The 12,230-nt window shown below is 42.9% G+C and overlaps 1 protein-coding gene across 3 annotated transcripts in view; it reads left to right on the forward strand.

Moving 5' to 3' along the window:
• The first annotated feature begins 2,638 nt into the window (after positions 1–2,638).
• The window catches only part of RGS7BP (regulator of G protein signaling 7 binding protein), a 106,305-nt gene continuing 96,713 nt past the window's right edge, over positions 2,639–12,230 (forward strand). For all 3 annotated transcript variants that reach the window (XR_948251.4, NM_001029875.3, XM_005248502.5), the window contains exons 1-2: positions 2,639–3,413; positions 4,335–4,501. Coding sequence is in view for 2 of the 3 variants with exons in the window: in NM_001029875.3 (NP_001025046.1) it covers positions 3,249–3,413; positions 4,335–4,501 (332 nt within the window). In the remaining variant the exon portion in view is untranslated. The remainder of the gene's footprint in view (positions 3,414–4,334; positions 4,502–12,230) is intronic.

The raw sequence follows: 12,230 nt of genomic DNA on the forward strand, positions 1-12,230 counted from the left end.
CAACCTCCTTCTCAGATTTGGTAATTCACTAGAATGACACAGCACTCAGGAAAGAGCTTTTCTTACTATTACCAGTCTATTCTAAAGAATACAACTCAGGAGCGGCCAACTCAGGCATGTCTGTGGAACTACTCAGAAGTCTGCACTACAGCCTGGGAAACAGAGTGAGACTCCGTAGAATGAACGAATGAACAAAAGAATGAAAGAAAGAGAGAGAGAAGGAAGAGAGAGAGGAAGGAAGGAAGGAAAAAAGGAAGGAAGGAAGGAAGGAAGGAAGGAAGGAAGGAGGGAAGGAAGGAAGGAAAAAAAGGAGGGAGGGAGGAAGGGAGGGGAGGTAATTGAGATTGCAGGAAAGAGAAAGGGTCAGGGAGCTGACTAAGCACTAACCTGTTATCTTCTTATATTTGGGGAGATTCAACCAGCAGAAGAGCCCTTTCTCTCAGTCTCTGGGACATCTAAACACCTGGAGGATAGCAGCACACCAAGGTCTGGGCCTGAGAGCTGATGCCTCCTTTCTCTAGTCTTTGATAGGGAAAACTCACTCTCAAGCTTGTGTGAAGTTCTGGTCAGGCGCAGTGGCTCACACCTGTAATCCCAGCACTTTGGCAGGTGAAGGTGTGTGGATTACTTGAGCTCAGGAGTTCAAGACCAGCCTGGGCAACATGGCAAAACTCTGTCTTTACAAAATATTAGGTGGCATGTGCCTGTAGTCTCAACTACTTGGGAGGCTGAAGTGGGAGGATCACCTGAGCCCAGGAAGTTGAGGCTGAAGTGAGCTCTCATGGTGTCACTAAATTCCAATCTGGGTGACGGAGCAAGACCCTGACTCAGAAAAAAAAAAAATGTAGCCAAATATCCACTCAGTGATCCATCTGTTAGGTTTTTTTTCCTTCCCACCCAAATACATGATGTCTTTTCCAATAGCACTTCTCCAACTCTCTAACACCAATTAGGTGGCCTACAACTCATTTCTGGCACTAACTACCCAGAGTTAACGTCAGATTTACAGGTTTAAGGGCTCAGTCCCACAAGACTGCCCTCATCTCAGAGGCCAGTCACAAGTATGGGATCCACAGGTTACCAACTCTTCTCTCCATCTTGGCGACAAATTCAGGGGTTCCTATAACCACCTTCTCAGATTTGGTAATTCACTAGAATGACTCACAGCACTCAGGAAAGAGCTTTACTTACTATTAGCAGTCTATTCTAAAGGATACAACTGAGGAGCAGCCAACTGGAAGAGAAACATAGGGCAAGGTATGGGAAAAGGACATGGAACTTCCATGCTCTTTCCTGGTGTACCACCCTTCCAGCACCTAGATGTCTTCCACAACCCAGAAGCTCCCCACACTCTATTGTTGTTTAGGAGTTTTACAGAGGTTTCTTTATGTAGGCATGATTGATTAAATAATTGGCCATTGGTGAGGAACGCAGTCACTAGCTCCTCTCCTATCCCCTGAGATTGGGGGATGAGGCTGAAAGTTGCAAGCAACTAATCAAGGCTTGGTCTTTCTGGTGACAAGATGGCTTATCATAATAACTCAGGCAATTTCTAAGGGTTTTAGGAGTTCTGCCCTAGGGACTGGGGACAAAGACCAAATAACTCTCTTATTATAGTACCCCATTATATTTACTTGTCTTGTAGAAAAGGTTGTAAAGCCACCCTCCTTAGGATATTAACCTTCCTGGCTATTTCAGGCTTTCTCTTTCTATGTACTCTCCATATCCCTTTAACAGACTGACCAGGAACCTCTAATCTGTTCTTATTAGGATTACTAATACATAACTAGTTTTCCTATGGGAGACCCCTTTATCTCCCTCTCCAAACAAATCATTCAGGAGAACAAGCATCCTTAGAGCCTTAGAGTTGAATGCCACAACACTCTCTCTTCCTCCCAGAAGAACCTTAGGAAGATGTCAGTGGGAAGGGTGAACTTAAATGGCTGAGGGCCTCACCCCCACTCCTTTCACACAAGAATCATCCCCGATTTTCTGGGCCACCTCTGTTGGCCTCTGGGTTACTGATATCCCATAAGTGAGAAGAAGGTCATTTTGAGTGTCCAGGGAGATCTCTTGGCTCTTATTTGTTCAAGTCTCCGGAAGGGAACTCTAGGAGCTGAGTCCTGAGACCCTGCAATGCAAGACCAAGAGCTTTACTACTTGAAATGGGATGGGGATGAGGCCCAATCTGAGTGAATGCCTCTGTGCATTCTGCCTCACTGGCTCTCCTCTTTCCCCCTCCATGAACAAGGACAAAATAAAAACAAAACAACTCAGGGAAACAAAGCTCTCCTTTTAGGTTATCAAGAGGTCTTCCATTTGGAGCAAAACCTCACTCCCTCCTGTGGCCCCTGTCTCAGTCTCAGTTGGTGAGGGCCTCAAGCCCACACTGGCTTATTTGAAATCCATGTTTAGGTCCCAGCATGTGGCATGTGCTCCACTCTGATGACACTTTTCGTTTCTAATAATAGAGCAGATGAAGTAATATTGCAATTGATGTTCCCGGGGATTTGATTGGATAAGTGCATAAACTGTGGAGGGGGAAGGGGGTTGCATGGACAGATCACATTAGTATTCCCGTCCTATCAATGTGCGGGCCCGCGAACAACGTCAGCCGGACCGATTCTCTGCGTCTGCCAGTCCCGCCACAGATTCATCTGGGATCTTCAAACAGACAAGCCCTTAGAGACGAGGGATCAAGGCAGCCGATTAGAGCCAATTGCTTGCTTTGGGGACGGCCAGTCCTTCCAGGCCTGGCGACAGTGGAGGGAGGGGAAAGACGAACCGAGTGCCGCTGCGGGAAGACACTGAAGCAAGAGCGACACCCCTTTCCGCCCCCCACCTTGCAGCGCAGGCTTTGAAAGCTGCTCCCCCACCTGAATGGAAACTCGGAACCGCCGGGCGGCGCGTTCCTTCTCGCCCAGCCTTGCAATCCATGCCGAGAGGAAGGCAGTGCGAGCCCGCGCCAGCGCCCAGCTCCCGGGACAGGGTCGGCAATGCTGCTGAGCAGAACTTGATCGCGCTCCTTCCTCGCTGCTAGTGGAAGCGATGCTGCACGGCACAGCTAGCGCTTCCCCGGCTCTCCTTCAAGCTGAAGGTTACCGACCCGCGCAGCCAGCCCCAGCACTGTGAGCTGCGCGCCTCAGGTCCGGGCTCCGGCTGCTTGGCGGCGGCGCCCAGGGCAACAACCGGGCCGCCCGCGCCGGGGCGCACTGCACCAGCGGCTTCGGCTTGGTGGATGTGTATGCATGAGTTCTGCACCGAATGGGCGCAAAAAGCGCCCCAGCCGGTCCACCCGCTCCTCGATCTTCCAGATCAGCAAGCCCCCGCTGCAGAGCGGAGATTGGGAGCGCAGGGGCAGCGGCTCCGAGAGCGCCCACAAAACCCAACGAGCCCTGGACGACTGCAAGATGGTGGGTGAAAACTGCGCCTCTTTTTTTTTTTTTTTAATTGAGAGGGGGTGGGGGGAGTCATGTATGTTAATCATTTGCCTGAGTGCCAGCCACTCCCCCACCCTCAGCTCCTCAATGCCGATCACGTGGCACATGCACTATTTTTAAATCTGCAGTCCCCCAAATTCAGGGTGACACCCTGGTCGTAATAACCCTGCAGAAAGAAGTGTGACAGCAAGGGTCTTGGGGATCAGCGGCTGTAGGTTGTGCCTGTACCCCCTCGAAGAATGGTGGATGCGAAAGACACAGTGAACTGGCTCGCTCACGGAGGAGGGAGGGATGAGGAGGTGGGGATGCTGCTTTCTGGGGACAGAGTAGCAAACAAACCCAAATACAGCGCACGGGGCGCTGCGGAGGGGTCGAAGGTTCCAGCGCAGAGGCTGTAGCTGGTCTTCCCGTCAGGCCGTCAGGCCGAGAGGTTCAGTGGCCCAGCAAAAGGTGAATGGTTTGCCTATTACACCCTACCTGTCGCCTCCCCCGCCCCTCCCGCCGTGCAACTTAAAAGCCATGTCCTAGCAGTAGGAGAGGGGACCGTCTATGTAGGAGTCCCCAGCATCATTCTCTGTTGGCCTGGGAGTGGCATGGTAGCGCTCCAAATATGCTCTCTTGCTCTTCAGAAACTGAGTCTGAAAGGGTGAGGGGAAGTAGGTCTGGAAATAGAGCTTCCATGGCCAGGCTTGCCTATGGAAATAAATACTTGCCTTGGACAAAGAGACTTGCCATTTTGGTGCCTTCTGCTTTAAACAATTCCTAGGTTCCTTAGCTGGAGATCTGGGGAGCTGACTCAGGGGTCAGTGAAAGCCCCTGTTTATGTACTCCGAAACAGGAAACTTTCTGATGAGAAATGTTTGGTAAAAAAAAAAAAACTCACTTCTTTTCCAGCTTGTCCAAGAGTTCAACACACAAGTGGCCCTGTACCGAGAGCTGGTCATTTCTATTGGGGATGTCTCGGTCAGCTGCCCCTCACTCCGGGCGGAAATGCACAAGACAAGAACCAAAGGCTGTGAAATGGCCCGTCAGGCACACCAAAAATTGGCTGCCATCTCAGGGTAGGAGACTCGGCATTATTTGGTAATCCATATACATGATGCATGGATGCTGACAGAATTTTATGGTAGTCAAGTCCTCAGACATGATCTCCACATATTTGAGATTTTAACCTTAAGATCGAAATTCTCTAGAGAGCTATACACAAACTATAGGCCAAACCATAATTTGAAGGCTGTGTCATTCTTGCATATATGTATATATATTTAGAAGATTTGGATCAAATGATTTTTTAAAAACTTAATTTTCAATACTCTGGCCACATTCTGGAATTTGGAGCATAAGATTTGGGGTGGATGGCTGGACATCAAACTGAAGTTAAATCATCTTGCCTCAAAATTATTTTGTCATCTGCTGCTGAACAAAAGGCCTGTGCTGTAGAGAAAAACTCTTTCCCAAATCCCAGATTTACTAAACTATTTATACCATGAGATAAATTCCTATGATACCGCCTAAAATAAAATCCCTAAAATAAGGTCTTAGATATAAATTACTCTCTTCACTGTGGTGATAGGAAGGGGTAAGTTTTAGCATAAGAACAGTTTTTAAAGATTGGGGAAATTCACATATCTCAATAAACCTAACATGATTTTGTCCCCCAAATTTTTATTTATTTTCATCAGATTTATCGTTTTTCTAGCCTGTATTAGGAGATAATTCAGTATGTGAAAACTTCTCTCTTGGGACCCTACCTACACTTTCTTTCATCTCTTAATATTGGGGAAAAAGTTAGCCATGGATTTTGTTAACAGTTCCTATTTTCAAGATAAGTACTTAGAGCAAGGAAACACAGGAATCCTTATACAAATACATCAATACATTAATTTAAGTGCTTTGTTCAGTCTGGATATAGTATTTACCTGTTTATCTATGTGAGTATAGCTTTATCGCAGCAGAAGTTCAAATTAGACTCACCTGATAATGTTACAAGCTGATCACTTGTAGGAAGTATATCTAATTTACCTATTTGAAAGAATCACTGTTTGCCATCTTTAATTCCAATAATATGTATAGTGATTATAAAGTTTATAAAGATTGGAAAGCCATATACTGCCTCTGTTAATAATTACTTTACATTTGACCACAGGCATTTTATATCATGAAAAATGATATGCTGTACTCATCTCCTTGAAGAGAGGGATAAACAAAATATGTTATAACCATATTTTATTTAGTAAAAATATTGAGAAGCCTTATCCTTTTCTGTTTTAACTCTTATACTATTCTTAACAAGAAGTAAATCCGGGAAATGGAGGGGAATTAAGTGGTTCAGGAGTTTGGTGAAGAAATACAGCTGTGATAAATCTCAGACAAGGAGAGAGACAGAAAAAAAAAATCAGAAATGTGAAGGAGCACTGGTAAATTTAGAAGTACAGATAAACAGTAATTCAAAAGGAAAAGCAGATTTAGGACAGGAAATTTTCTCTCAAGGCTAAGGAGTAGCAACTCTGTAAACTTTGTGTCCTAGATTATAGGATGGGATTGCATTTAGGATCCCTCTGAGTTGGAACTCAAAATGAGAACATGTTCTAATCAGAGATGGTGGGCTGGAGGAATGAACAAGGAGTTCGATTCAGTCTATTTTGCGACACACACAAAATTCAGGGTCTTCTGAAGGTTCAGGAAAGAAAAGGTCTGAAACTATTGACTAAAAGTTGAGTTTGGAGGATTTCAGGTGGATTTTTTTTTTCTTTGAGAGGTATTATAGCTATGTTACCCCGGCTGGTCTTAAACTTCTGCACTCAAGTAATCCTCCCGCCTCAGGCTCCAGAGTAGCTGGGACTACAAGAATGCACCATGGTACCTGGCTTGAGGTGGATTTTATTTACTCTGGTGTTTTTAGCTCTTTGCTACTTGTTTGCATGTTATCTGTGTGTTGATGTTAATGGGGGCAGTTTTATAAGAATTAGTGGGAAAATAAGATGTTCTTAGAGCCTTGCCAAAGGAAAACCAACTCCATAAAATATTCTAGGATAGAACTTGACACATTTCCCCCCTTACAATAATAATTAAATGCAATTTAACATTCGTTATAAAAAATGACAGCAATATAATTGAAGGAAATCCCTTTAGTTCCTCACCATCTGGGCTCCGTTAATGAAGGATGTGATTCCCTTTGGCGGAATTCCGTTTCTGATATCATTTGTTATGTGGGTTCTTGTTTCAAGCTTGATGTGAAGGCTGGTAGGGAGGCTGTAGGAGTCACTTTAAAGTTTGAAGCAGGAGTGAGAAAAGCAAAGGTTTTTGGCGAAATTTAGAGAGAAGAACTGGATTTCTTGCGCGCCCACTATTTGTCATCACAACCCAGCTATTTCCTTTCAGCTGAGGGAGGGATTATTATTCTTATTCTACAAATAGGTCTAGAGAGATTGAGGAACTTGCCCAAAGTCACACAGCTAAGAAGTGACACAGCTTTGATTCAGCCCCATGTTTGCATGCTTCTGATTTTCATGCTTTTTCCTCTATATAATGCTGCCATTCAAAAAGGTGTTACGTATAAAGGATACATGATAAAATATAAACTAACCTTAAAAAGAGTATGCCAACTGAAAGAAGCCAGCCACAAAACATCACATGTCATATGATTCCATTCATGTGAAATGCCCAGGAAAAGCAAATCTATAGAGACAGAAAGTAGATTAGTGGTTACCTAGGACTGGAGGCGAGAGCAGGTAGAGACTACAGATGAGCTCGAGAAATCTTTTTGGGATGATGGAAATGTTCCAGAATTGGACTATGGTGATGGTTATACAATACTGTATATTTACTAAAAGTCATTGAATTGTAACTAATAATGAGCTAATTTTATGGCATATAAAGTATACCTCAATAATTGTTTTTTAGAAAGGTATTGTCATCATCACCGTGATTAACACTTGGTTTTTTGTCAACTTTATTATTTTCTACATATGTAGCTTTTAATGAAGGGGTATGAGCTATAGGGTGGAGGAAAAGTAATACTTGGCTCCCCATGCATTCCTCAAGACACCTGCCTCATGGCTATTGCTTAAGCACCAATTCTTTGCTCTGTGTAGGAATACAAGTGTGGGAAAGGCAGGACTTGAAGGAGTAAGTGAATTTATTCATTTTCTACCAATACAGACTCCCACTTCCTGGTCTACCAGCTGGCTTTGGGGCCACAGGAGGTAGACAGGATTGAAGGTGGACAGGGTAAAAAGAAGATGAGGCAAGATAGAGAGGAAGAGGAAAAACAAGGAGTTAGCATTAAACAAGCCACTAATGCTACATACCTTTCATCCCTGACCAACTGAAACCCTCAAGGAATGGTGGAGCTCACGGGAGAAGAAAACTCAGACTATGTTTTTTCTAACTGGCCCTGTTTAAGAAGGCCATCTCCACAAATACAATCAACACGCTTTCTCAAATTGTGTTTGGATCAGCAGAGTTCAGGCACAGCCTTTTCTTTCAAAGGCATCAGATATCTGCATTCTGGACAGACCCAGCCAGGTGAATACAAAGTATCCTCTGACTGTCTTGATTTACTAAAGTTATGTCTTTACAACTCTGACCCTGTCCCAGACATTAAAGCTAAGAGGGGCCTTAAAGATCACTTGCAAGAATGGGCCTCAAACTTTTTTAGCAGCAAATCCTCCCTTCAATCTAAATGTAGAAAGCCATATTTATAAAGACAGTCGCAGTGGCATAACTCTGCACTGCTTGGGGTGTGTGTGTATGTGTCCACGTGCCTATCAGGAGTAGGTCAGGTCCTGCCTTTTGGACTTCCTTCTCAAAGTGACTTCTGAGACACTTCATAGAATCCCTAGGGCTCCATGGCACTTTATATTTGAGGAGTCTAAGATTCAGAGGATTTAAGTGACTTTTGAGGCAACTTGACAAAGAATACGTGAAGATTTTGGAGTCAGGCAGACCTGGAATGAGTGTCATCTTTTATGACCTTGATGGAATGCTTAGCTCTCTAAGTCACAATTCCTTCATCTGTAAGGATGAAGTCCTTCATGCCCATTCATGGGGTAGTTGAGAGAGTTAACTGAGCTAGGTATGTGAAGCAGGGACCACATGTCCAGACTGTCAATGGCACTGCCAGTCAGAGGCTGCTCTAAGACTGGGACTTGGATCTCATGCTCCCTGGTCTTGTACCTGTTCCATCAGCCACACCTGAGAATGAGGAGAGATGAGCACAGCATACAAGGTAGGAGTGGCCCCAGGAGCCAACATCCTCCAGCACACCTTGGGAGTTACTGCTATGGCTGGGGGGCTGGTGGTCAGGATTCTCTTTTTGCTGCTGTGCTTCTGTGGTGTCTGTGTTGGACTGAATCTTTCTCACACTGCTGCTTTTGGTTAATGGCTCTCAAGAGAATCTAAATGTAGAAAGATTTACTCCAGATCTTAAGTTTAAGTATGACAACATGAGAGACAGTAGAGTGTGATGGGAAAGAGCACTGATTCTAAATCAGATTAGACCAGGCTTTACCACTTGCTAAGGACATGGGTGAATTTGTATGCAGATTGATTCACAGAGTGGTTAGTGGTAGTCTGGTATCGTGGTTAAGTGCATAGACTTTGGGACCAGACTGGCAGTCTGGCTGTGCTGCTATTCACATGTAGTATGAAGTCGGGCAAAGATATTGTCTCTCCCTCTCTGCTTCAGTTTCCTCAACAGCAAAATGGAGTTAATGAATAATGGGACCAGAGTATATGGCATTGTGAGGATCAAGTACTTAGGAGACCGCAAGCATATAGTAAATGCTATTAAGTGCAAGTTAGTGGTAATATAATAAGACATTTAAAAATTCAGATTGCCGAGATACATTTATATAAAAAGTTAATCCATCAAATATTTTCCAAATAAATACTTTGGCTGGAATAAATCTTTGTTTACCTTGGTTTCTTATATTACATTCTGAGACATTTTCTAGGTGGAAGTTTCCCAGATGGCTATCAAAAAGCCTGTTCTGAGATACCATAAAAATTATATGGAGATATGAAGATTCAAAAGTAGTTAAGTTTAGAAATTTTTTACATAAATCAGCCTAGATTCTTCATATATCAAATAATATTTATAAAATCTTTTGGCCTAGTTCTGGTATAGGCTATATGTCATTGGACAAGTCTGTTAAATTCTCTGCACGCCAAAATGACAGTGTTACATTGAAGGACTTCTGAATCTCCTGGCTTCCTCATTCCATTATTCTACATTAATTCATAGAGAATCACATGGACCTTGTTTACAGAACTGAGCTATGAAAAAATAAATATCATGCAAGAAGTTTGATGATTGAATTCCGGAAATAATATGTTGAGATCCAAACCTAGTACATTCACAAGAAGAATCTTAATTTCCTATTGGCTTTCTAGAGCAATGTAACGAACATCCTAGAGGTCCAGAAGCACAGATTTCAGGTTTTTCCCTCCAGCAATGATTTTCCTGACCAACCAGACCTGTTTCTCTCCTTTTCTCCTTCTCTTTCCTCATGTTCTTTCCTTCTCTTCCTTCTCCTCCTCCTGCCTTTTTCTGGGGGGGTTGGGGTGGAGTCTGTTTTGGTTTTGATTTGTGTTTAATTTTTTTGCCCTGATTTTTTCGCCCTGATTTTTTCAGTCCCACTTCTAGTTGATTTCTTGTTCCTACCCTTGTTCTGTTTGCTAGGAAGTTAGGAGGTGGGAGAGTGAGATAAGGGAAAATAAAGAATTGCAGCTTAGTAATAGTCCTTTCAACACTTTGGCTGAGCCAGCAGCAACGATGTATGGTGATAAGAGTATGGAAGAAGAGCTCGGTGACCATGGAAGCAGCTCTCAGCCTTCTTTGATCCACACGGTGGAGGAGGCCTTATGTGGGCAGTGACAGCCTCTGCCGTTAGTAAAAGGGACCTGTGGTTGGCAGGCATGCCAGGCCACCCACTCTGTCTTTTCTTTTCTCTTCCTATTAAAGGTGTTTTGCTTTAAAATGTTTAGCTCTCACTGGTCAAATAGTGAAAGGCAAGTTATGTCTATACCAAAAGAATATACTATCCATAAAGATAACGATGGAAGAACAATTCAGTATTAGTTTGCTAAGGCCGCCATAACAAAGTGCCACAAACGGAGTGGCTTAAACAAAATAAATTTATTGTCTCACAGTTCTGGAGGCTGGAAATCTAAGGTCAAGGTGTCAGCAGGGTTGGTTCCCTCTGAGGGCTGTGAGGAAGTATCTGCTCCATGCTTCTCCTCTAGCTTCTGGTGGCTTGCTGTCTTTCACATTCTTCGGTTTGGTGAAGCATCTCTGCCTTCAGCTTCACATGGCCTTTTCCTTGTGTGTGCATCCATGTTCAAATTCCTCTTTTTTACAAGGACAGTAGTCATATTGAATTAGGGGCCAATTCTACTCCAGTATGAACTCATCCTAGCTTAATTATTTACACCTGCAATGACCCTTTTTCCAAAAACAAAGGTCACATTCTGAGGTACTGGGTGGTTAGGACTTAAACATATGAATTTGGTTGGGGGAAAGGGCACATAATTTAACCCATGATAAATTTCCTTGACCTATCTGCAGCTAAATACACACTTTGGGTTGTTTTGCCCCAACTAGAGGTGAGGTTTTACCTAGGACTTTCTGTATACTCTCTCCACACTTTCATACAAAGCCATCCCAGGGCCCAATGTTTAATCATCTGCAAGATCGTAACTCATGTAAGGGTAGAGTTTGTGACCATGGAATAGAATGTTTTCTGTATGAAATGGATTATTCACAAAGATACTGAGTCTCTAATACAGCTAGCACTTTTCTTTAATCAATTTAATTATATTATAAAGGTAAACCAAAACCCAGCTACAAGAAGGAATACTGGGGAGAGCTGGTGAGGCATCTAACAATCCACACCCGGGGTGTTCACTTTCCCTGGTGTGCATGAGAGAATTGAGCAGGTGGTGGCCCCTCAGTGGTGCTAATACTGTTGCTTAAGGACCATAAGCATACTCTGGAGCAAGGACAAGGTTCTAACTCACACCAGATTAAAGAAGAGTGCTATTATTAGCAACTTGACTAAATGTGATATGGCATCAAGACAAGTGTTCTCCCATTGCCTATTGAAGTTTAGCCACTTTATGTTTTGAACAGATTTAATGACTTTCACCTTGTTAGAGTCTTCTTAATAGATGTTCCAATTAGAGAGAAAATTAAATCTAAAACTAACTTTGGAAAAATTCCCCGTCACTTTATTATGCATACTCTGAAGTGCAAGAGACCAAGGCTGTTTCATTCATCTTTGCACCCTGAGTGGTAAGCTCAATGATGATATATTTGTCTTTTCTGTTCATTAAGTTTACTTGGTATTTTAAAATCTATTCTTAAAAGAAGCCATGTCTTGATACCAACTTTAGTAAGAATTGAGAGATTCGATTAGTTTACATCTTATTACATTTAACTATTATTATTTTCTGTTTTTAACTCTAAAACCAATATGTTGGTTTTTAAATAACAGAGGACTTGAAGAGCTTATATACCTAAGAGCAATTTGTGAGGCATAGGTGTTCATTATTAAAACAAATCAGCAGGCAGTGTGTATCTTAGGATTACTCATAAAGTAATTATATTTAATTTATGTTATTTGATAAAATAGTATCATAACATCTCTCTGCTTAGGGGCTTTACATTGAATTGTTAATAAATCAGTTACCATTGAGATCACCTTTTCAAACTGTTCTTTAAACTTCTAGGCCCTGAGAGTTTGGTTGTGTCTTATCCCAGAAAGACAACTACACAAAGCACAGCTC

Source organism: Homo sapiens, chromosome 5 (assembly GCF_000001405.40).
Source record: "Homo sapiens chromosome 5, GRCh38.p14 Primary Assembly".
NCBI lineage: Eukaryota > Metazoa > Chordata > Mammalia > Primates > Hominidae > Homo > Homo sapiens.